The sequence below is a fragment of the Homo sapiens genome, chromosome 16 (genome assembly GCF_000001405.40).
Source record: "Homo sapiens chromosome 16, GRCh38.p14 Primary Assembly".
Classification (NCBI taxonomy): domain Eukaryota; kingdom Metazoa; phylum Chordata; class Mammalia; order Primates; family Hominidae; genus Homo; species Homo sapiens.
This window is the reverse complement of record NC_000016.10, coordinates 72,289,512-72,316,329: the sequence shown is the minus strand read 5'-3', so window position 1 is coordinate 72,316,329 and position 26,818 is coordinate 72,289,512. Positions and strand designations below refer to the sequence as shown.

The window sequence follows — 26,818 nt, the reverse complement described above, 5'->3', positions numbered from 1 at the left end:
CTTTATTCTCTAGGTAGTAGACAGTAGAAGTCTTTAAAGAGATTTAGGGTTGCATTGTTGCTTGTTTGTTTGGTTAAGAAAATAAATCTGAAAGATGAAGTCAAGTGCGAAGACACTGGTGGCACGGAGAGTGTTGCTGGCACTCAGGCTGGAGAGATGATGAATGTTTGGACAAAAGTGGGGTCAGAGAGGAGAGAGCAGCACAGCCAGATTCAAGAGTTGCTGCTGGGATAGAGTCTACAGGACTCTATCTTTGGTGACATATTTAAGATGATGAGAGAGGGAAAGCAAAGAATTGAGAATGAAGTGGATGTTTCTGATTTTGGAGGCCAGACCCCTTGTGCCATTCATCAAGATAAAGTAAATAGAGAGGAGCTGCTTTTGGTGAGAGAAGATAATGAATTTAGTCATAGAAATGTTCAGTTTGAGATGTCTGAAGGAAATCTCTGAAGGTAAGTTCAATGGGGAGAATTCTGGTCAAGATGGCTCTCTGTAAGGTTCATCTTTTGAGTACCCCCTCCCATACACACACAAACATAAAAAAGCAACAATTCGATATAAAAAGAAAATGTAAGAGCTACATTTTTGTTTATAAATGATATAAATACCCAAGAGGACAAAAAATGAAAGAAAAACTCAAATCAGTGAGTGGTGAGAGGGATTGAATGCACAAATCTGGAGAGTTGTAGGTATGGAAAGAATGATGACTGGGAGGCCAGCCCCTAAGGATAATGGGGACTGGGGACTAAAATAGTTGTTCCTTGTGAGGATGGGAATGGGAAATAAGAGCCAAACTCTATTTCTGAAACCAGGGAACAAGGTGGGACTCCTCACAGCCCAAAAGGTGGCTGTACAAAGATCTGCTGCTAATTCTTGTCTGGGGCTTCAGGAGAGAGCAGACAGTCTCAGTACCAGAAAATAAACTAAATTTTCCACTGACTCAGTGATTAATATGGGGATGTCCCCAGTGTAGGTACAAATTTAAGTCTTAGTTTTGGATTTGGATCCCTGAGGGGTTGTCTGAAGTCAACTACAAACCATCAGGAAGGAAGCTGAGGTTAGAAACGATAAATAAACCTTTTGTTTTGTTTTGTTTTGTTTTGTTTTATCTCCTCCTCAAAAGACCCTGAAAACACAAATTCTGAAACAGAAATCTATGCTAAGAAAAACAGATGTAAGAGTAGAATGAGAACGTGAATTGATTCTGAATGCTACTGATTTAATAATCTGGATCAGTAAAGACTTTGAAATACCAACACATGCCCACTAAAATGACAAAGACAACACTAAGAGTTGACAAAGGTCAAGTAACTGATGAAAGGGTGTAAACTAGTTGACCACTTTGGAAAACTTTTTGGAAATATATACAAATGCTGAATATATGCATACCCTATAGCCTAGTAATTTCAATCGTATACCTACCAGAAATGGAGTACTGTACATATATATACCAACGGCATTTATAAGAATGGTCACAGCATCACTATTCATAAGAGTTGAAAACTGGAAGCAGTATAAATGTCCAACAACTGTAGAATGGATTTTTAAAATGTGATATATGTACTGTACAACATGGAATATTGCACAGTAATGAGAAAAAATGAACTGCAACTATATGCAACAACATGAATAAATCTCACAAACATAATATCGAGTAAAAGGCACATACTTGCAGTCAACATGAAAAGAAAAACATTATCTATTACATGAGTTACAATCTTCAAAAGATAAGGGCAGGGGCAGCAGAGAGCAAATTTTCCAGAAATGTAATTGTTCTTGCTACTTCAAGATAATTTTCTTTTCCAAATTTTCTTACAGAGAAGCCCGTGCAATATAGTAAATGATGTATAAATAACCATGAGCTATATGAGAGACATATGATAAGGCAATATTGTAGCATCTCATAGTCCACTGATGACCTGCCAAAAAAGCCCATTTCAGAAAAAGAATGGCTTTTATGGACTCTCAAAACAAGAATGTGAGATCATAGTAATGACAAAAGTCTACAGAATTTTCTTAGAAAATCTAAAGTTTTTTTTAGCATTTCCATCTTACTTCAAACACAACACTACAACTATTAAGCATGATAACATAATTTTCTGTGTATATCCAAAAAGTATGTTCAACAGATAGTTAAAGGTCGTGGGGGAATGTCAGTAGATGTCCCTCTTCTACAGCTTGTTTCAAGTTTTACTTTTAAAACATACACAAGAGCACTAAGTGGCCAAGGGTTAATTATATTTACATTTTATCCATTCTTGTGCCCAGCCTGTTTCTTGTGCTCCCTGCTGTCTCTCTGGGTTCACTATGCTAGATTGTCACAAATCATTCCTTAGAAGCAGAGTGCAGGCTTTAAAGTCAGTCCTGGGTTCAAATCTCCTCATCCTTTTATTGGCTGCGTGGCCTTGGACAAGTTACTTAATCTTTCTCATGAGATAGTTTTCTTCACTCTGCAATGGGAATAGTATTACTTAACAAGGCTTTTGCCCACTGGCACACAGTAGGTTTTTCATTAGTGCCTGTGTCACATTTTAAAATCTCATTAGCCTGCATCTCATTTTAATATCTCATTGATTTTTTTTCCTTTGAGGAAAGATTTGATACTTTTTAAATTGATAAAATCCATTCACGGAGAAGTCTTGTAACATGGTGAGTGATTAAACTGAGTAATACTGTCTAGGATTTTTTAAAATGAGGTGTTAAGAGGCTTGTTTTCTCATATACCTTGTGTACTGATGCTGAGAGCAATTTCATAAGAAATTTCAAAAATGCTTTAGCAGTGATTAGTGCTTGTGGTGTTATTGTATAATCTCCTGAGGTGGCTTCACCATGTGGTGTGTAAATTCTGATTTATTACTCTACATCATGTATTTCCTACCATTTGCCTATACCTTATAAGCACATAAGCATATTTATATATATCTTATAAGCATCCCACTTCTTTCTTTCTCTTGCCAAATATTTTTCCTAGTGGATTTCTGTTTGACATTGTACTTTTTTCCCCTAGCCCGGAAAAGCCACTATACTACTAAACCCAAGAGACAGAGATAGAGCAGCTTTGTGCTCCTAGACTCAGAGTCGAAAAGTGTGGGTGGAGGAAAGGGAGGTCAGAAAATAGGTTGTTATTTCCATTGCTGGCAATTTAGATTCAGAGGCATTTCATCTGCAGTTCCCTGAAGTGTTGAATTGAATAAAAGTAGTAGCAGAAACAGTGAAAAGGGTGGTTGGGGGAGGGGCTGTGAACACTTGCAGCTAAAAGCAAAGAGACAGGCAGCTTGTAAGCGTTCATCCTCAGCTTGGAATAAAAACCGCAAGAAGCCTGAGAGCCAGCCTTTATTGAAACAAGATGGTGCCATAGTGAAACAAAACACAGACTGAAATCCATCTACACTAGCAGAATAGTGTGATTACTGTGTGTGTGTGCTCCAACGACCAGGGTGGGCTGTGTCGATGACTATGTGAATGAGAGGAAGAATAAAACACTACTACATTTGCATCCTACCTAACGTGAATGATTTTATAATAGACATGTTTCACATGCACCTTTACTAGGAATCAATGTGTCCGCAGAGATTTACTCTGTACATTACATTTGATTTAACCAGCATTCACATTTGCATTGAGCTAAGCACTACAGAATACAGATTGTGTACAGGAAGTTCGTTGTTTACAAAGACATGATATCCCAAATTTCCTGTTTAGCCATTTTAAGCCAGTTTTCCTTAGAAATATTGTTACACATTATGGTAAGCACCATAAACTAGCCTTCAATATTCTTTTAAATAAGTAATATTCCTAAAGGGTAAGACAAATACAGGGAAAATGAATAGAAAATAATGCTAAAGGAAAACTAGCAATTTAGGAAAAAAAATCGGATACTGATTTATTTATCCTGTTTGCCTGCAATACTGAGAGAAATTAATGGCTTAATTAGGAAAATGAGGAAAAAGACAAAGATGTAAACGTATAAAGGACATTTTGATGTGTTTCAAGGATTGTAGAAGCTTGTAATACTGATCCTTTATTGTACCTAATTTACCTAAAAAAATAAGACTTTTCATTGGTATAGATTTCAGAGTTATATAATAGATATTGACTAAGCTCATTCTACACAAAAGGCACTGCATTATGTGCTATAAGAGATACAAGAACTGTTAAAGACGAGAAACCCTTCCTCAAGGTGCTGACAGTTTAGTTGTGGAGATAAAATATACGTGGTACAAATGTGTATATAATCAATACCATGTACAGAAATATAGACTAAGATAGAGATGTAACATGGATAAGTGGGAGAAGCATGAACCTCGAAGTCATACAGCCTTCGTTTTTATTATAGACTCCACTGCCTAACTTGCTAAATAGCCATGACAAGATTTCTTAATTTCTTGGAGCTTTGGTTTTCTTACCTGTGAAATGAGGATAGCAGTATGTACCTTATGAAATTATTGTGAAGATTAAATAAAATAATATTAAATAGTTGACATGAGGGGTAAAAATAATTGCTCTATGCTTATTTTATTTTATGTTTTTGTTTTTTAACCAGCACCTACGCACTGTCTCTCTCTTTCTCTCTCTCTCTCTCTCTCTCATAGATAGAAATCTGAGAGAGATAGATAAGGTCTCACCACATTGCCCAGGCTGGTCTCGAATTACTGGGCTCAAGAGAGCTTCCTGCCTTGGCCTCCCAAAGTGCTGGAATTACAGGCATGAGCAACCATGCCCAGCCCTAATCCCTTCTGATAACTGGGGAATTCTTTTCCTCATAAGTCTTGTAGGAAACACCACTCATTTTCCAAGTCTGTTTCCAGCTTGACATGACCAATCAGCCCTTTTAACTATCAGCAATATTCTTATACTTCTGTCTTGATGTTTCAACTCTAGCTGGTACCAAATAGATTCCATAATAATAAAGGCTGAGGTTCTTTGTACACTTAACATTAATTTCTGTCTTCTTATGCACATCTCCTTCCCTACCCTCAATATTCATTAGCTATGTATTTTAAATTCATGTAGTGGTTGCCTTCATGATTTTAAATGACATATTTTTAAAAAACCTATTACTTGATTTCTTATCCTTTGAAAACATTTTTTAAATATTATAGAAATAGTGCCCCACCTTTCACTTCTCTCCATCTGCCACCAAATTTTTGGTAGTTACATTATTTTTATTTTTTCAATATTTACAACATTTATAATATTTTCTATATAAATCTTACATGCACTGTCCATAGGATGATTCTAAACACTCAAGATAAAATGCAGCTTTTTAAAAAACGTTTAAGTTGAGGGGTACATGTGCAGGCTGTGGTATTTGGTTTTCTGTTCCTGCACTAGTTTGCTAAGGATAATGGCCTCCAGCTTCATCCATGTTCCTGCAAATGACATGATCTCATTCTTCTTTGTGGCTGCATAGTATTCCATGGTGTATATGTACTACATTTTCTTTATCCGATCTATCACTGATGGGAATTTAGGTTGGTTCCATGTCTTTGCTATTGTGAATAATGCTGCAGTGAACATACTCATGCATGTGTCTTTCTAATAGAATGATTTATAACCCTTTGGGTATATACCAGTAATGGAATTACTGGAGCAAATGGTATTTATGTCTTTAGGTCTTTGAGGAACTGCCACACTGTCTTCCACTATGGTTGAACTAATTTACACTCCCAGCAACTGTGTAAAAGCATTCCTTTTTCTCCACAATCTTGCCAACATCTGTTATTTTTTGACTTTTTAATAATAGGCATTCTGACTGGTGTGAAATGGTATCTCATTGTGGTTGTGATTTGCATTTCTCTAGTGATCAGTGATGCTGAGGTTTTTTTTCATCTGATTGTTGGCCGCATGTATGTCATCTTTTGAAAAATGTCTGTTCATGTCCTTTGCCCACTTTTTAATGGGGTTATTTGTTGTTTTTCTTGTACATTTGTTTCAGTTCCTGATAGACACTGGATATTATACCTTTGTCAGCTGCATAGTTCACAAAAATTTTCTCCCATTCTGTAGGTTGTCTGTTTACTCTGTTGGTAGTTTCCTTTGCAGTACAGAGGCTCTTTAGTTTAATCATTTTCCATTTGTCAATTTTTGCTTTTGTGGCAATTGCTTTTGGCATCTTCATCGTGAAATCTTTGCCCATGCCTATGTCCTGAATGGTATTGCCTAGGTTGTCTTCCAGGGTTTTTATCGTTTTGGGTTTTATATTTAAGTCTTTAATCCATCTTGAGTTAATTTTTGTATGTGGTGTAAGGAAGGAGTCCAGTTTCAATATTCTTAAAATGCAGCTTTTACATTACGATTGTATAGTCACAATAGAACCATATCAGAACGATTGAACCCATACAGAAACAAATGTAATCCTAGATCATTAAAAGGTTGCCATTTGAAGGAAAGTACCCCCCAAGCCCCAGGATCTCCACTCAGTTCTCATTAAATATATTTCTAGCTTCCTTTACTTCTTTTACTTGGCCACCACTATTTTTATATTCTATATAATCTTCTTTGGGTTATTTGTCATTTATTCAAAATAATCTACTTAAGTACTTTTTTATATGAATATGTGGATGATAAACTTTCTGATCACTTACACATGCAAAATTTGGTTAATTCTTCACTCATATTTAATTGATAGTTTAACTAAATATGTTACTGGCTAGGTCCAGGTCCATTTTGCCCAAGTGCAGTAAATCAATCACTGTGACATGGGTTTTGCAAAAGAGAAGAGATTTATTCATAAGGCCACCAAGTGAGGAGGCAGGAGAACAGCTCTCAAATCTGCCTCTCTGGAGATAAGGCTTAGAGATATTTATGGGTTAGGGAGGTGAGGTGGTGTAAGGCATGGCGAAAGGTGATTGGTGATGGGGAAAATGAAGTAACAGGTTAATTCTTTGCAAGTGCAGCTGGGTTCATAGCATTTTATAGGACATATGTACGGAAAATGGCAGCATTAGCATGATCTGAGGGTGAAATACCTGATGTCAGAAGGCCACTTCTCAGGCACTTGCACAGGCCTAGTGAAAGAATTCATGGTCTCAGCTGGTTTGAACTAGACAGGAGCGGGGCCAAATTCCTTAAAAACAACTGAAGCAACCATTACCATGGTGACCTGTGAATGTTATCTATAAAGTAGCCAGTGAAGGCTAAGTTTCAGGGTTCAGCGGTGAGGTCTTCAGCCACTACCACACTCAAGTTCATGGAAACAAGAAAAAAAGATAACAAAAAGCAAACAACCGAAAGCAAACAGGGCAGACAGACCTATTCAAATTCACCCCTTGGTTTCAAATATTGTACAGATTTTTCTTTTCTTCCTAAGAACTTTGAAGGCATTGCCTCAAGGTCTACTAACATCCTGTATTGCCAGTGAAAAATTTGGCATCAGTCTGCTTTCTTCTCTATTATAAATAACCTTTCCTCCTTCACTGAAAGCCATTAGGATTTTCTATTAACTCTGGAAGTTCTGAAATTTCATAAGGTTATATCTAGGTGTGAGCCATTTTTCACTTGTTCTCTTTGGTATTCAGTAGTCCCATCCAATCCAAAGGTACATGTCTTTTTAATCATTCAGGGAAAGTGTATTATTATAGCCCATTATATTTGTGATTGTCTACTTTTCTCCATTATATTTATTTCCTCCTTTTGAGACTTCTGTTAAACACATGATAGATTTCCTGATTCTATCCTCCATGTATTTTGACTTTTATTTTAAATGTTCTTTCTGTTCTACATTCTGGGAGATTTCCTTGACTTTATCTTCCAGTTCACCAATGCAGTATTCAGCTATGTCTATTTCATGAGTCAACTCAACCACTGAGTTCTTTATTTTTGAAATTGTATTTTTAGTTTTCTGGAATTCCTTTTTGTTCTTTTACTGTTCCTTTCTTATAGTTTCTTGTCTTATTTAATAAGTACAGTAGCTTCTCAGATTTATATGAAGGTATGATTTAAAATTTATATAAATTTCATTCTTGTTTTCTCAAATAGCTCCGTTTCTCCCATGGTAAGGTCTTCTGTTTATACATTTGGGGATTTGTCCTTCACTTTGTTGATTAACTTCAAATAGCTACTGTTCCTTTAATGTCTATGCATCATATGAATCAGGATCATGGTTTCCTCTGTGGTTAATATATTTGTTTCCTTGGTAGGCCTCATCAGTGAAAAGAAGGACTGACTTCCAGTTCCAGACAAGTGACTGAGTAGATTTTGACAGACAGGCATGGAGCAGGCAGGCTGGCTGGAAACTTCAGTGATTATAAAAGTTAAGGAGCCTTTCTGAAGGTAAAACACTTCTGCATGTACCATTCTTGGGTAGGATTGTCCTTTCTTTTTGTTTCTTCCCTCAAGGTCTTCCATGGAGGAAGGTCAGTCTTGCTCTTCTTCTCTTTTAGACCCCAGCAGCTTCCAAGAAGCCATCCCTAAGCAGATCAACCACTTTCTTTAGAGAGCAGATCTCAGGCTTTGACCAGAAAGCAAAAGCACCTACTAACAAATGCTTGGTTTACTTAGGGAAAAGAGAGAAATCTCCCCAAGCTCAGATGCTGTTTTTTCATAAATCATTCAACTCCTGCTATCTGTAATTGTTCAAAAGATTCTCCACTTATCTCTGAGGCCATGCGGCTATTGTTTACTCATTTTTTGCCAATGTGAGCCTATCCACTGCCTGCCTGCCTGCCTGTCTGTCTATCTATCTATCTATCTATCTATCTATCTATCTATCTATCTATCTACCTATTTTACCTACTTACCTAGCTATTTTTATCTATCTAATTATATATATGGGCATGTATATGTATATACTATAGCTATTAGCTTTGTGTACCTTTTTATTATAAAATATTAGTAAAACGCATACAGAAAACTACATGGAACAAATGTATAGCTTAGTGAATTATTTAAGGCAAACAACCTTATAACCACCACCTCAATCAAGAAGTAGTACTCTACTAGCCACCTAGATGTCCCTCCATGTTTCCCACCACAATTATAGCCCCCTTCCTCCCTCCTGACTCATAGTAGACATTTACATTTCTTTATGTTTTATCACCCAACTACATCTTTAGATTCTACAGTTTAGTCTTCTCCACTTTTTAAACTTGTTGTGTCATTGAAGTCTTTACAGTTTTCCTCTCCATTCCTTTTCTTTTCTTATAATTTATCTGTTAAAGAACCCAGGCTGCCTGACTTGTAGGATTCTCATAGTTTAAATATTGACAATTGCAGACTCGTGATGCAGTTCAACATGTTCCTCTGTCCTCTGTATTTCTGCAACTTGGCAGCTAAATCCAGAGACTTGACCTCTGAAGGTTCAAACCCTTTGACAAGACCATAGGTGAATTGTGTTCTTTCATCAGTAGGCACATAATAACTGTTTTTTTTTTCTTTTCAAATGTTATAACAATTATTAATGCTCAATTCCTAGATCTGTTAATACAGTGGGTATCGCAAAATGGTGATATTATCGATCTATTTCAGTTTCGTATTTTAACTGAACAATTCTATAAAGAGGTGCTTCTCCTTGTCTATTATTTGGCTATCTAGTAGAACAATTTATATAAAAAGAGCAAAATAAATGCTTGATACTTTCTATATTTTTACTCTCTTGTCAAGATAGTTATAATTAGTTCCCTATTGACCAGTTGGTTGTTTTTAACATATATGTAATTATTAGTTTATGGATTTAAACAGTTGATAGATTTCAAATCATTGCAATTCTTGAAGCTCAAAATATCTCATCTTTGCCTGCGAGACAAAATCTCTTCATGTTTGTTCCTTAGTGTTTTGAAATGACCCTAGTAGTCTCTGATAAGCTTCCATGCTGTCTTGTATGTTAAGAAATTCAGACTCATCTTGTGTGTTTCCTGCCTCAAATTTAGAATCAGCTGCAGAAGAATGAAACCAGAACCCCACCTCTCACACTATACAAAAGTCAACTCAAAATAGAAAAAATACCTATATGTAAGACCCCAAACAATAAACTATTAGAAAAAAAATAGGAAAAATGTTTAAGGACACTGGTCTGGGAAAAGATTTTATGAATAAAATTTCAAAAGCACGGGTATCGAAAGCAGAAACAAGGAATGAGATTATGTCAAATTAAAAAGCTCTGCATAGCAAAGGAAACAACAGAGTGAAAAGACAACTACAGACTAGGAGGAAATATTTGCAAACTACTCATCTGACAGGAGATTAATATCCAGAATACATAAGAAACCCAAACATCTCAACAGCAAAAAAACAAGCAATTCAATCAAAAAATGGGCAAATGATCTAAACAGACATTTCTCAAGAGACATAAAAATAGCCAAAAAATATATGAAAAAATGCTCAACATCACTAATCATCAGAGAATTGCAAATCAAAACTACAGTGAGGTATCATCTCACCCCAGTTAGGATTGTTATTATCAAAAGTCAAAAAATAACAAATGCTGGCAAGGATGCAGGGAAAAGGGAGCCCTTACACACTGTTGGTGGGAATGTAAACTGCTACAGCCACTATGGAGAACAGTATAAAAGTTCCTTAAGAAACTACAAATAGAACTACCATGTGATCCCATGGAATCCCACTACTGGGCATTTATTTAGAGGAAAGAAAGTCATTGTACTGAAGGTATATATTGTCCTCCGATGTATAAAGCTGTTTATTGCAGCATTATTCACAATAGCCAAGATGTGAAGTAAACCTAGGTATCCAACAAGAAATAAATGGTTAAAGAAAATGTGGTATATATGCTAATTTATATATATATATATATATATATATGTTGTATATACTATTTTGCCATAAAAAATTGAAATCTCATCATTTGTAGCAACCTAGATGGAACTGGAGGGTATTATGTTAAGTGAAATAAGCCAGGAACAGAAAGTTAAACACCACATGTTCTCACTCATATGTTGAAGCTAAAAAAAGTTGCTCTTATAAAGGTGAAAAGTAGAACAGATGATACTAGAGGCTAGAAAGTGTAGGAAGAAGGGAGAGATGTATTAAAAGATACAAAATTACAACTAAATAAGAGGAATAAGTTCTAGTGTTCTATACTACTGTAGGAAGACTATAATTAACAATAGTATGTGATTTAGATAGCTAGAAGAAAGATATTGAACATTCCCAACACAAAGAAATGATAAATTTTTGAAGCAATAGATACACGAATTACCCTGATCTGATCACTATACATTATATGCATCAAAACATTACTGTGTACCTCATGCATATGTGAAATTATTTGTCGATTAAAAATAATATTTTAAATGGGAAAAAGAATGAAAAGCAAAAAAAAAAAAAAAAAAAAAAAAAGGATGTTTGATATGGTTTGCCTGTGTCCCCACCTAAATCTCATCTTGAATTCCCACGTATTGTGGGAGGGACCCTGTGGGAAGTAATTGAATTATAGGGGCAGGTCTTTCCTGTGTTGTTCTCATGATAGTGAATAAGTCTCACAAGATATGATAGTTTTAAAAGGGGGAGTTTCCCTGCACAAGCTCTCTCTTTGCCTGCTGCCACACATGTAAGATGTGACTTGCTCCTCCTTGCCTTCCACCATGATTGTGAGGCCTCCCCAGCCACACAGAACTGTAAGTCCATTAAATCTCTTTCTTTTGTAATTTTCCCAGTCTCAGATATGTCTTTATCAGCAGCATGAAAACAGACTAGTACAATATTCCAACTTAGGCTGTATGTTTCCCTGCAATAGACCTGGAATCAACCATTTCTCTAAGAAGGCTTGATTTCTGTTAATAGAAAATAGTATTTCAATACCACAGTCTGGGCACTAAAGATTCTTAATGCTACTGGATTAGTCATTATTTCAAGGCTTTTAAAATGGATTGAACTATGAAAATATATATATTATATATATGGATATTTTAAAATATAGCATTTATTTCCTATATTTATGTTTATAAATATTTAATTACATATACTTATATTTATTATATATATGTATCCTATATTTCCTATGTAGCAAGATAAATACATCATAAGTTCATATTGATATCTCCAATTCAAATTCAGGACTACAGGATTAATTTAAATGTTCTGTGTTGCACCTACATCTCTTTTCTTCCACACCAAGAGTTCTGGTTCTCAAGGACATATGGGACGATAGAATTAGAATATCCCATAATTACTCATTTACTTTATACCATATTACATATACAAGTTTGAAATTATCCTTATTCTACCATCAAAAACCATTTTTGATTACTAAAAACAGTTAAATATTTGTGGCATATGTTATCCTTATTTTTCTCTGCCCCTCCCCTATTTTTTAATGATTATACCATCTTTAGATTTTCAGATCACATAGCTGTTATATACTATGAACTCTTTTTTTAATCCGCAGTTAGTTCTACAAGTAACTATTTAATGTTTAATGCCTCTCTAGTAATTTTAGTCTAAAGTTTGTCCTCTAGTAGATCCCTTAGGTAGAGCTTATGGGTACAGTTTCTCTTCCCATCACCTCCACTGTTACTACCCTAGTTCAAGCCACCCATCATTTCTCTCTTGGTGCTGTAATACCCTCCTAACTGATGTCTCTGTTTCCACTTTTGCCTCCCTGTGCTTTTTCCCCACACAGTGGCCAGAATTAGTCCTTTACATTGTCGACCAGAGAATATCATTCTCTACTCAATATCTTCCAATGATTCCTCATCACTATTAGAATAAAATATAAAGTCTTACATGGCCTGCATGGCCCAATACAATATAGCCCCTGGCTACCTCTCTGAATTCATTTTCTGCTACTCTTCTTACTGCATTTCAGCCATGCCACCCTCTTTGCTGTTCCTTAAATATGCCAAGCAGATTCCCATCTTTCAATTTTGGACTTGCTTTTTTTTTAGCCAAGTATATTCCCCTGCCCCACAGATGTTCCCATGGCTCACTCCACTTCAAACAGGTCTGTGCTCAAACGTCACTTCCTCAGAGAAGCCTTCCTTGATTGCCCTGTCTTAAAAAAAACTCCATCAGTCTCTCTCTTCTGATCTTGTTTTATTTTTCTTCATAGCACTCAATTGTTACTTGACATTATAATGTATGTCAATTTATTTATTTGCTCAAGTCTTTCTCTTCTACTGGAATATAAACTCTGGAAGGCAAGGACTTTGTCTCTCTTGCTCACTGCCTTCTAAAGCACTGGGGACCCTAAAGAGAGAACATCCTCAAGGCCAAGAACAGTCCTTAGGACAAAACAAACAAAAACATTACAGACGTTAAGGGTTTCAAGGCAACACTTTGACATATTTGTGGGGCTCTTCCACATAACCACATTTACCTCCAAACCCCTAAAATAAGGGAATAAAATTTGTGATTTTGTTGTTGTTGTTGTTTATACTTGGTCCCATTTTCTGAAATTTTTAGAAAAAAATTTCAAAATTTCAGAAATCCTAACAGTGGAAAAAAAGGTCTGAATTCCTTTCCGAAAATCTGTATTTATTCTTAACTTTCCTAGGTAGTATGGGCATGTATTCCACTCCCACAGCCTTAACTATTTAATCCACAAAAAGAAAAACTTTCAGTGGTCCTAACACAAAGCCAAGTGTCTGTGGTGTGTCTTTGTGTTGATCACAGGATTTGTGAGGGGTTTTTCCCCCCATCTTTACTCTCTTGCCATCAAAGGAGGAACCAATTAAGCTAAATAATAATATTTAAAACCTGACAGCACTCAGGAGGCTGAAATGAAAACCTATATTTGCCATGTGGATGCTTTAGAGCCCATGCTCTTTGTGTGACCATAGATTCACCCCAGGTTGATGCCATGTGCATTACCGGTGCCTGGACACAGCAGAACTAATTATAGACAGAGCTCAAATTTTCTGTGTCTAAATGTCACTCCTTATATTTGTTGATGCAACTTAGAATCCCTCTTCCTGACCCATGCCATATGAGAACAAAAACAGAATAGCCTAGAACACAGTGAATAGTGTGGAATACTCAACTTGTCCTTGTAACTGCCTACACAAAGCTAAAACGGTCTGACATGTGAAGTGTTTGTGCAGAGACCTAGGACTTCTGGGATTTGTACAGAAGAATTAAACAACAAAAGCAGTTTAAAGAATTTATGTATTTTGTTGCTGTGACTTCTCCCTATATTTTCTTCCTTTTTTGACTTTATCTATTTTAGTGTAAGAATAAAAATTTTCAGTCTTTTATAAAGGAAGAAAAAAATATAGCTTTTAATGTGGACCAGATACTGTGCATTGCTTTTATTAAATTAGTCAGAGAGCACAGTATTTTTTCCGTGTATCAAGCAGGAAAATGTACATGCATAGGACTTAGGGTTACATGAATATGTACGTGAATATGTACACGCATAGGACTTAGGAGTACATGAATATTTTCCTGCACACCCTATCATGTGCGTTTATGCCCTAGCACAACCATTTTTGTGAAAGTTTGTGTGTGTGTGAATGTGGCTGTGTGCAAAGGAAAAGGACTTCTGCTCCAGTATTCCAAGCAATTAAACTCCAACAGCACAGGGATGAAGAGGGGGCCCTGATTTTCTTTTCCTTTGCAGTAATTGCCTCAGCATTCATCTTTGATCAGGGAAGAGCAGAGGAGGAGAGTCCTGCAAGTTGAAATCCCCGGTATAAATATATACATTTACATACACAGGGGCAGCGCAACTCTGGAGCTTTTTACTGACGTCTCTGACCTGAAACCGTTGTAGCTCCATTGACACCTCATTTAATTGAATCCTTCCCTAGCAGTGCTGAAGCCAGAGACTTGAAAGGGGGAGGGAAGAGGAAGGATGGGTAATCAAGGCAGACTCTTCTGCCTGAATGTCTAGAAATGACAGGGAAGTAATTGCTTTTGAAAAGCAAAAAACCAGAAATAGCACAATTTGTTCTATTTAGCAAGATGCTAAAACAGGATAAAGATATGGGGATTTTGCCCCCAAATATAGCAAAATCCCTACACTGAGAATGAGACTGATTTGGATTTCTGTGCAAATAGGAATGAAATAGGTTTTTTAAAAGAGGAAGAAAGAAAGAAAATACAATCCTAAAAAAATAAAAATCCAGAGGTTTTCCTGGTTCAAAATGGCCAGAGAAAATAGTAAGATAATTCTGAGCCCAGAGCCACAGCACAGCCCCTTTTGTCAGCTTCAAATCAGTGAGCCAGAGGGTCGAATCAGTTTAACCTGCTTGTGTGACACATCACCCACCCGCCTGACCCAAGAGTGGCCTCATTTTTATGGATGCAGAAGCTCACGGTGTAATTCATTCCCCGGCACACCCCACTCGTTCAATCTGCTGCCTTTGCCACAAAGGTACACTGCATATTCTCTGCCCGCTGAAGGGATGAGTTATCAGTCAGCTTCCTGCTGAATGCAGGAGTTACCCTGCCTTACAGCTGGAGAATAATGTCCCTCACACAGCATCAATCTGGGGTCCAAATCACCCATGCAAATTAGCGCATGTCCACAAACTGAGGGTCTTAAAGTAATCCTTCTGGACCTGGAGGAATCAGCAAGTTTAGGAAAAATAAAACCTAAAGGATGTTCATTTAATAATCTTTGCCTCCTTGTCATCAGCTCTTCATTCTTGATTTTTGGTTATATGTTAATGAGGACACTAGAGCAGGTGCACAGCAGACAGGTGCTTTACCCTTCCATTAGTGCGTGGTAAAATGGCAAACAAAAAAAAATGGCATAGTAACAATACATTACTGGTATATAGAATCTTTACAGAGTACTCACATATGCTGTTACATTTATATGGATCTCTCAACAACCATGTGTAGTAGCAGAAGCAGCAGATTTAAGACCCCTCATACAGATTAGGAAACTGAGGCTCATATAGGTAAATGCTGGCATAAGTCCCCACTGCTGACAAGCAGCAGAGTGGAGAGTCTAACGTACAGCAAGATGGGCCCCAGTTCTGTGCCTCATATTAGAGAGCTCTACTCTGGCCCCACTCTGACTCCATCTCATCCCTTCCCATTGTGTGGGGAGTCCATGGGATCAGGGGGGCAGGGAGCAGGGTGCCCACTCATCACTTACCAACTTCCCTTCCTCTAGACCACATTCCGCTCCTCAGGAATCTAGAAATTCAAGCGTGCCTGCAAGACCTGTACAGGACTCTTCCCTGGGTCCATCCTTTTGGTCTACAACACTAGGCCTGAGGGGTATCCAAGGGGTAACAGTTTGCAGGACTGGGAAATGAATGAATTTTGTATGTGTAGGCAGAGTATCCCCACACATCTGCATGAAATAATTCATAGTGAGAGACAAAGACAGAGGTAGAAAGAGAAGGGGGATGGGTTGGAGTCTGGGACCTGTGAACTAAATACCTACGCTGTCATGGTCTAAAGTCCAAGGGTTCCTAACTAGAATGTGGTTTCTCAGGGTGTAAGGAAGGTATATATTTGTCAGAGTAAGAAGATACAGCATGTTTTATGTTTTTATGTAACCATTTGATTTGTAACTTTTAAATATTTAGATATAGGGAATACAGACCTCCATTTGAGCTCCCACCTCAGGTTCCGTGAATGTTAATGGCAAGCTGGTTGAAGTGGCACTGGGGTACTGGTAGAGACAAGTGAAAATTTGGAAGAAATTGCATAACCTACACTGACATAAATTTTCTGTAGCTCTCCTTAAGGGGCCAATTTATTGGCTTTTATAATATAGAAGTTTCCCCAATAATTCACTGAAGGCTAAGAACCAATATTCCTGATAGTTAAAGGTATTGATGAATCTGATGAGAAAGTAATAACAATTTTATGTTTTCTAAGTGTATTAACACAAGCTGCTGGTTAATTACCTTGCCACGTTCCTAAATAATATTAAAGTGGCCCAAAAAAGTTAGTACCCTGGATTAAAGTGAAACATTTCTTCCAGGCAATTATGAATTCCTCTTCATCAGCAAGATCAGGCTTAAAACTCTGCTGCAGATTCATGACTAAGTTGATTAGCCATCCATTTTCAGCAGAAGAATCCGTTCTGAGAGAGGGCAGCCCAAAGCAGATGAGACAATGCTATGTATATGGCTCCCTGCAGCAGTTTACATCTGGCTTCTACAGAAATGCTCATGCTAACCTAAGGGACATGCCAACTCTCACCTCTTCCATGAAGTTCTCTCTCCTAATACTGAACTTTCATACCACTTTGTATCTCCATAGGGTGGAAATTGTGTTCTTTGATCACCAGCCATTTCACTATCTCTTATCTTTCCTGATAGACTGTAGAAGCCTGGAACCCTACAACTTTCACTTTTGAATCCCCACAGGGTGAAGTGCATATAACAGGCATTCAATGAATATGTAGTGAATGAATAGACAGACGATTTCTACTTTTGTCATTATTTTTTGTACTTAAACAATTTTTTGCCACATTTTTATATGTTCTGCAATATTCTTCATGGCACATCCATGATTTTTTACCAACCACTGAGGAATGCCATTAAAAGCATAGACAAGGCTTTTCTTTTAGCCTTGGGAATAGCCATCAGCTAAAGATATTCCTGTATGTGAACAGGGCAATTTTGTATTAGTTGGTGTAGGGACTGATTGTGTCGCCTACAAAACTCATATGATGAAGCCTTAAGCCCCAATTTAATGGTTCTTGAAAACAGGGCATTTAGGAAGTAATCAGGAGTAGATGAGGTCGTGTGATTGGGACCCTCATTATAGGATTCATGTCCTTATAAAAAAAAGACCTCGGAAAGCTTGCTCTTTCCTGATGCACAGGCATGTACTGAGGAAAGATCATGTGAGGACTCGGTGGAGAAGGCGGCCGTCTGAAAACCAGGATGCTCTCACTGGGAACCAACCCTACTGAACTTTGATCTTGGACTTCTAGCCTCCAGAACTGTGAGAAAATTTCTGTTGTTTAAGCCACCCGGTTTATGATATTTTGCTTATGGTATTTTGCATGAGCAGACTCAGACAGTTGAGAATGCTTTTTGCAGAAAATAACAGAAAACTTAACATCTATTAGTTGAGTATGTAATAAAGACATTTAATCTCAGATAGTAAGATGTTAGAAGGTTGGTAGTTCCAGAGACACAACAATATTATCAGAAACTCAAAACCTTTTCCTCCTTCTGTCGTGTCATCTTCAGTATATTGGCTTTTTGTCCCTGTGCTTTTGCTTTTGGTAATGCTGATGAAGTCTCTAATCAGGAAGGGAAACAAGACATACACAAGCCCAGCCTCGTTTTTAGAAAGCAAACTATTTCCCAGTAAGTCAATAGACTTACACATAAATATCATTGGCAGGGACTCTGTCACATGGTTACCTTAGTTTCAAGGAGCTAGAAAGGTAAGTATCAAACAAAGAGGCATAGATTGCCAAATGGTCCCAGGCCAATTGTGATCCATCCCCTGAGGCTGGACACATTACCATTTGAACAAAGTCTGAGTTTTGTTAGCAAAGAAGAAGAGCTGTAATGGTTGTTGAATGACAAACAAATAGTGTCTGCCACCTCTTCTGTATGTTTAGTTTCAATATTATCAGTGGATATTTCATTCTCTGTCTTAGTCTATTTGGGCTGTTATAACGAGATACCATAAACAGAGTAGCTTATAAACAACAGCAATTTATTTCTCATAATTCTGGAGGCTGGGAAGTCCAAGATCAAAATGTCAGCAGATTCAGTGTCTGGTAAAGGCATGTTTCCTGGTTCATAGGTGGTACCTTCTCACTGTGTCTTCACATAGTGGAAGGGGCAAGGCAGCTCTCTGGGGCCTCTTTTATTAGGTCAATAATCCCATCTGTGAGCGTTCTGCCCTCATGACCTAATCACCTCTCCAAGCCCCCAGCTCCCCACACCATAGCGCTGCTAAGTTTTAACACATGAATTTTAGAGTGACACAAATATTCAGACCATAGAACTGTTTTCCCCGAACACTTCATCTTGAGGTTGTTCTAAACTGAAAGTTCACATTTCATTAGTACCCCTGCTTTACTGTGACAGACATATAGTTTGTCATACATAAAACCCACAAACTCAAGAAAAAAAGAAAGCACCCATGGAAATATATAATTAACATTTTATAAATCATGATGGATTCTGGAAAAAAACTCCAGAGCTCCAAACAAAACCAGCTAAATTAGAATCTCCAGGAATAGGGCCCTACCATTGGTAAAGATTTCCTCGTGATTCTAACATGGAGTCAGGATTGAGAACTACTGCAAGAAGGATTTATAGAAAGCAAAGATACAAGTCATCTCTACTTTTAGCCTCTCTGGAAATCTTTTCCTCACCCATGATTAATTTTCTCATTGTTTCTCAATATTCATATTTGTTTACTCATTAAGATACTGCCTATGTGTGTACTGTGTGCATATAGCTCGGTGTGAGAGGCTGTGGATATTATTAAGGAGATTTTAAACAGCCTATATTTCAAGAATTTTCTGTTCTTTGGAGTAAATGAGTGAAGTATTTGTATTTAAACAAGGTCATGTTTATTAAATACCAAAATGAAAGGCACAGATATTATGGGCTTTAGGAGGTCCCATGAAGGCCAAATAAATGTGGACTGGAACAGTTAGCTAAGGCCCCATATAGGTGTTAGAAAACTTTGGATAGGCAATAGCAAAGGAAAGGCCATACTTGGAAATCACAACATGCTATTTCTAGTGTGTTTGGGATCTGGCTAACTCTATTGGTTCTCTTGGGTAATGGAAGATAAGACTAGAAGTATTGAAGGAACTGATGGTTTTGGAGTTTTGTTGTTTTTCTAGTTTTAATTTTTTTTTAATTTTTGTGGGTATGTAGTAGGTGTGTGTATGTATGGGATATATGGGCTGTTTTGATACAGACATGCAATATGAAATAAGCATGTCATGGGGAATGGGGTATCCATCCCCTAAAGTATTTATCCTTTGTGTTACAAACAATTCAATCATACTCTTTAAGTTATTTTGGAACTGGTGTTTTGATGGTTTGATGTCACAGCTAAAGAAAATGTCAAAGCAGGCCATCAGATCCTAAGTTTGCAGGAAAAAATTCAGTTTGTTGGGGCTAGGGAATGATAATTTGGAGATGTCCAGTAAGTAGTCAGAAATATAGGAGTATGCATGGGACAGAGGTGTGTTTGGGGCATAGAGATAATTGGAGAAGCTTTGAAGGTGGACACAGAGGTAGAAAACTGGAAGCTCAGTTCCCAGGATTCCTCCTGGCTCACCCCCTCCTTGGAGCCAACACTGGGCTTTGTACATACCATAATGTAAGCATCTGACACCACTGTAGTGCAATTATTCATCAGTCAGCAAATATTTATTAATCACCTAATATGTGCCAGGTATAGGTGATGTGGCAGCAAATGATATAAACAGGAGCTAAATTTGGAGAGAGAGTAAGAAATAAGCATGTTCAGGAATGGATAAGTTCAGTGAAAAAAATAAGATGGGATAATGTTTAAGTGCATGAAGTTGGATGTGTCTCTGAGCTAAGGTGGTCAGGGGGCCCTGAATGATGAGAAGGAAACAGCCATGTGAAGATCTGGGGACCAGCATTCCAAGTAGAAGGACTAACGTGTGCAAAGGCCCTGAGAAAGGAATGAGTTGGCACATTCAAGGCACAGAACAAAGGCTAGAGCTTAGAGGCCAAGGGGGAGAACAGAGGGGCATTCACCTATTTCTGTATTGATTTATGTTTTACAAATATTCATGAAGGGGCTACTCTTCTAGGTTCTAAGGTACAGCAGTGAGCAAGCAGAGTTTTTCCCACATGAAGACTGCATAAGGTCACCTGCATAGACAGAGCCTTGGAGACTCTAGTAAGGAATTTAGGTTTTCTTATGGTTGCCATGGTAAGTCTCTGGAGGGTTTTTGTTGTTGGAAACACATGACCCAGTTTGTGTTTTATTTTTTCCCCATCTACTTCTTTTTGCCAGACCCTGAGGCCCTTCAATGAAGAGACTATCTTGCTCACCTTTGAATCCCCCAACTTCTGAGCAAAGGGCCTGTCCCTTGGTAGACACTTAATAAATATTTGTTGATTGAAAGAGCCTGTCATGAATGTCTGCACCCTGAGCCTGAGAAAACTGCTTCAAAAAGAGACACAAAAAGTTTTCAAAAAGTTAAACATAGGATTACCATGTGACCCAGAAATCCCCTTCCTTAGGTATATACCCCAAATAATTGAAAACAGATTTACCAAATATGTGTACACAAATGTTCATAGCAGCACTATTTGCAATGGCCAAAAGGTGGAAACAACCCAGATGCCCATCAATGGAATGAATGGGTAAACAAAATGTAGTACATCTGTTCAATGAACTATTCGGCTATGAAAAAGAAAGAAGTCCCCACAAGCTTGTCCAATATGCAACCTGAAGACCGCATGTGGCCCAGGTTGGCTTTGAATGTGGTCCAACACAAATTCATGAACTTCTTAAAACATTATGAGTTTTTTTGCAATTTTTTTTTAGCTTATCGGCTATCGTTAGGGTTAGTGTATTTTGTGTGTAGCCCAAGACAATTCTTCTTCCAGTGTGGCCCAGGAAAGCCAAAAGATTGGACACCCCTGTTATAATATGGATGAACCTCAAAAGAATCCAGACACCAAGGGTTGCATAGGTATGATTCCATTTACATGAAATATACAGAATAGGCAAATCCATAAAGACAGAAAGTAGATTAGTGGTTGCCAGTGTCTGGGGGGAGGAGGGGGAACAGAGAATAACTGCTTAATAGGTGCAAGGCCTCCTTTGAAGGATGATGAAATGTTTTGGAACTAGATAGAGGTGATAACTGGACAACATTGTGAATGTACTAATGCCCCTAAATTGTACATTAAAATGGTTAATTGTATCTTATGCGAATTTTACCCCAATAAGGGAGAGAGACAGATAGAAGTATCAGTCAATTTAAATCATGGGAGAAGCAAGTATAATTTCCCATACTTGAGAAATTTGACAGAGAAAAGGAAGAGCGATATAGAAGGATAGCAAAGTGGACCATTGGCTCAAGCGAAGGTTTTTTGGGGTAACAGGAAGACTTGTGTCTATTTGAAGGCAAAGAGGAAAGGTGTCAGACTGAGATCCTAGGGAACACACTGAGGTCTTTCCAGGTCTAAGAAGCTGAAGACCTAGACATAACCCTATATGAAGAGATTGGTCATTCACTCTTGTAAAGAATGCTGCAATTAGGATACTTCAAGGAGAAATGTAATTGGGGGGAGCATTAGAAATGATCTAGTCCAGGCTCCCTATTTACTAGTAATGCAGTGAACAGACAGCCCAGTGTTGGAAGTCAAGTCTCCAGACTTATTGGGCATAACAACTATGATTATTTTTACTTTACTAATAGTTTGGGATTATCCACAAAGGCCATTTGCTGTTAAAACTGTATTTTATCCTTCATTTTTTTTGTTTTTGAATTCAACAAATGTGCCTGGCATGTGCTAGGAACTCAGAAGACGAGTATGTTTGACTGGTGAGTTCCACTTACCCTAATTATAGCGCAGGTGTCAATATGTCAGTAACTCCCAAAGCCCAGTAGCCTGATAATGTTGCCGAGAACCTCATGTGCCAAGGATTTATTCATCTTTCTGAGTCTGAGGTCTGATTAGCAAATGAAGTTTGATCTGGATGTATGTGTGGTTATGGGTATGTCTATGTGTAAGAGCTATTTTTAAAATATGTTTATTTATTAAATAGAGAATATATCCTTAGAGTTCAAAAAGCAAAGTACAAAAGGATCACAGTGAAAATCCTGTTTCTACCCACCTTATTCCCTTTCCCAAAGGCAAGGCATGTTGTCAGTTTTTGTGTACTCTTTTAGATATTCCATACATATACGAACAAATACTAATACATGTGTATGCTCCTCTGTCCAATTTTACACAAACAGCACCCTACGCAACCTGTTCTCCACCTTTTTTTTTTTTTCATTTTACAATGTATTCTGTTCATAGATATTAAGACCTTTCTGGACCCCTCCTGTCATTATTTTATTTTCCTGCAATGGTTACAAAGAAAGAATTTCTGTTTAGGAGAATACTCAACGTTTTCATAGCTTCATGATATCCCGTTGTGTGGACAAACCATTGTTAATGTAACCAGCATCCTACTGATGGCCATTTAAGTAGTTTCTAATCTTTTTTCATTACAAAACTGCAATGAGTAGCCTTCTACATGTGCCATTTTACATGCGTGCAGGCATATCTGTAGGATAAATTCATAGAACTGGACTTGCTAGGTAAAAGGGTAGCTGCATGTAATTTTAGTGGGTCTTGGAAAATTGCATTCCATAGAGTTTGTGCCACTTTCCACTTCCACCATTAATGTATGAAATAAACCTATTTTACCACACCTTCACAAGTTCATTGTATTATCAATAGTTTGGGGGTTTTGCAAATATATTAAATACAAAACGGTATCTCAGTGTGGAGTTAATTTGTGTTTCTCTTACTGTGAGTGAGATTGTTTCCTTAATATGATTAAAAGTAATTTTATTTCTTTTCCTATAAACTATTTCCCTGTTTTCCATTAGGTTATTAGACTTTTATATATTGATTTATAGGAGCTTCTTATACATATGTTATAGAAATTAGCCCTTTGTCTGTTATATGAATTATAAATTTTTCCTGGTTTGTCATTTTTCTGTTTACTTATGATGATTTTTTTCATATAGAAATTTGTTTTAGTTTTATGATGATGAATTTATAAATCCTTATGTTTTGACTTCTGGGTTGTGTGTTATATTTAGAAAAGACTTCTATCCAACATTATTTTAAAAAATTCTCTCATTATTTCTTCTAGTAATTTTATGGGCCTATTTGTAGTATTTTTATTTATCTGAATTTATTGTGGAACATTTGATGCATTGTTGGATGTTGTCCCGGCACCATTTTGCCATCATCAAGTGAATGCCATTTGTATTTATTCGTCTAGTACAACTTAAATCAAAATATTGCTGTCAATTTCCAAATGAAATAAATATTGATTGAATTCCTACTATGTGCAAGGCATAATATCATGTTTTCTTTCTAATTTTTTTCTTCAAGAATAAATAGAGACAGGATTTTAAGGCCAGAGATCCAGGAACTTCCTCTGATAGGTTAAAAAAAATCTTTAGCGATAGTCTCTTCATATCAGTAGGAACTGAATAGAGCCATATTCAGTGAGACAATAAGCTAGTCAAAACTGCAAGCAGAGAAAAGAAAACATAAATGATTATTTATAGGTATGAGCTTTCCTTGTAACCAGGGAAGGAAAATGAAATAGATAACAGGAGAGATTGTCAAAGACCACAATATCTATGAACATATGATGCTACAATATGAAGACCATAGCTATGAACACTATGTAAACATTCACTTGAAATAGAGCTTGTGAAATGGAGCTCAAAACGGCTTAGTACTAAGAGATTCTAAAATAAGTCATTATCTTTTAAGTATACTTTCCTTTGGCATGAGAAAGACTATCATAAAGACTATAAACCTTAAATGCTTCATTGAAACAATCATAGGAACCCTATGACTCAGCTATTGATGAACTGTTCCTCCAGACTTCCTTTACCACAGCCTGTAATCACTGGCTGCTCTTCTGCCTAAGAGCTATTATGCTTCTAGCTAGAATTTAATTATCTGATTTTTGGAACATCATTGGAATCCATATCCTAGAAAAGTTTCTAATGAAAACCAAGTTGTACTGTTGCATGGATTCATAATGTGCATGTGTGTGTGATTCATCCATACAGAATGTTACAGAAATATTACTGGAAGGGGAAGAGACAGGAATAAGAGCCAGTGAGTATGAGTCACAGGCAGGGGAGAGAACAAAATGCAAGGAGAAAATATATAGGATCCCTGTTCTTTTAAAGAACACACAGAAACTGAGGATGAACAGGAAGGTGATGTTTACAGTTTCATACTGCCCATCTGTAGTGGGTTGAATAATGTCCCCCCAAAATTCTTGTCCACCCAGAATCTCAGAATGTGATCTTATTTGGTCTTTGCAGATGTAATTGGTTAAGATAAGATCATACTGGATGTGGATGGGTCCTAGATCTGACTGCTGATATCCTTATAAGAAGAAGAAAGGACACGCGGAGACTACAGTGATGTTGCCACAAGCCAAGAAATGCCAAGAATTTCGGGAGCCACCAGAAGATGGAAGAGGCAGGGAAAAATCCTCCCCTAAAGCCTTCAGAGAGAGCATAGCTCTGCCAACACCTTGATTCTGGACATCTAGCCTCTTAAACTGTAAGAAAGCACATTTCTGTTGTTTCAAGCCATCCAGTTTGTGGTAATTTGTTATGACAACCCTAGGAAACAAATACACCACCCTACAGAAACATCATATACCACCCTAAACAAAAGTCTTTCCTCTGTGTATCCTATCTGTCCTTTTCCCAGTGTGACATAAGTGAAAATATCCTCATAAGGTTAGTCTTTGGGCCTTCAGTTTTGCCAGGCCATATTGTGACCTGATACTCACTGGCTATAGTACTGTTAGCACTTTTTAAAATCGGTAAAATGCAGAGAATAATATCTGTATCCTTCATAAAGTTGTTTTTAATCAAGCGCTTTTGAAAGTAGAAAATACTATATTGATATAAACGTAATTATAAATACTGCAACTTCATAAATAGTAAGCTAAAATAGTTACTAGTCCAGACTTTTATTTGTATCAGTTGAATTTCACCCATAGTTACACATAAAAAATAGTATTTATTCTGATTTCCTTACATAAATTATCTATCTTGAGACAACAGGTCAAATACTTTCTTTCCAGGGCAGACCAATTAATAGTAAGTTTTCTTAGTCCTCAGGTGTCTCATTTCTTCTGTCTCAGAAGTCATGGATGTCAATGAAGATATGGAATTCACTTATTCATTCTTATAAATATTACTTAGTGTCCTTGTGCTTGGCACTGTGCTTGGTCATTGAGATCTACTGTTCAAAAGCAAGATAACATACAGGGTAAGGTGATGGGGACTGCCTCTGAGGTGCGTAGTCTCTGAGAAAATGGTATTTGAGCAAACACCTAAAGGACAAGAGGTGGGGTAGACCTTGCTGGGTAGACCTTGACAAAGAGGTGGGATTTTAGTCAAAGTGCAATGGGAAGCCCTTGGAGGGTTTTGAGTGAGGGAGTGGCATTATCTGATTTCAGTGTAAAAGATGGAGCTGGCTGCTGTGGGGAGGGCTGATTGTAAGGTGCAAAGTGGAGGCAGGAAGGCCCTTTAGCAGGCTTCTGGGACATGCTATGATTGATGGTGGCTTGGAACAGGATGGTCTTGGGGTGGTGGGATGTGAATAGACCAGGACACATCTGGAGGAACAACAAGCAGATTCTGTGAATAGGTGGGATGTTAGAGTGGGGAAGAAATAAGTGGGGCTCAGATAACCTGACCTTTTCATCAGCAGCCCTGATTGAAAGCAGCCCCACTGGATACACCAAATTTTGCAAATCGTTATTGTCTCAAGTATCTGTCTCCTACCTGGTAAATCTGCATTCACTGCTGGAAGACAGATGAATGTGGTTGAGCTCAGTTACCTCATTTTGGCTGCTTAGAACAACTTGCTTTGAAGCCATGCAAAGAAAGAAGTTCTGTATTAGCACCTGCTCTTCTTAGGGCTCTGAATGACTTTGTCTCTATTTAAACCTGCTAAGGAGGGCTAAGGGCATTTATCCTATCCCTGGTTTTAATATAAGATGAGAATATTTGGGTCATTTCATTTTTCTTTATCTTTCATCCAAGAAGTGGGGATATTAGTGCCCACTCTGCAGAGGTTTTCTGACAATAAGATGAAATAACATGTGGTCTGGCAGATAGTTGAACTTCAATAAAAGATAATGATGATGGTGATGGTGATAAATGTCTCAAAAGACACAAGTGAATGAAACTGACCTGATTCCA

The 26,818-nt window shown here is 37.3% G+C and overlaps 1 long non-coding RNA gene across 1 annotated transcript in view, besides 1 other annotated feature; it reads left to right on the top strand.

The window, feature by feature from the left end:
* The window catches only part of LINC01572 (long intergenic non-protein coding RNA 1572), a 384,069-nt gene that overhangs the window by 348,641 nt on the left and 8,610 nt on the right, over positions 1-26,818 (top strand). The window contains exons 10-11 of the long non-coding RNA NR_126330.2: positions 24,917-25,160; positions 25,723-25,880. This is a non-coding gene — a long non-coding RNA (long intergenic non-protein coding RNA 1572). The remainder of the gene's footprint in view (positions 1-24,916; positions 25,161-25,722; positions 25,881-26,818) is intronic.
* Positions 24,618-25,817: an enhancer, noted in NCBI's record as "CDK7 strongly-dependent group 2 enhancer chr16:72324412-72325611 (GRCh37/hg19 assembly coordinates)". NCBI's record gives its function as "activates an origin of replication core promoter dependent on BRD2, BRD4, P300/CBP, MED14 and CDK7 cofactors, with strong dependence on CDK7, by STARR-seq in HCT116 cells {active_cell/tissue: HCT116}" and the evidence as "EXISTENCE:reporter gene assay evidence [ECO:0000049][PMID:35650434]".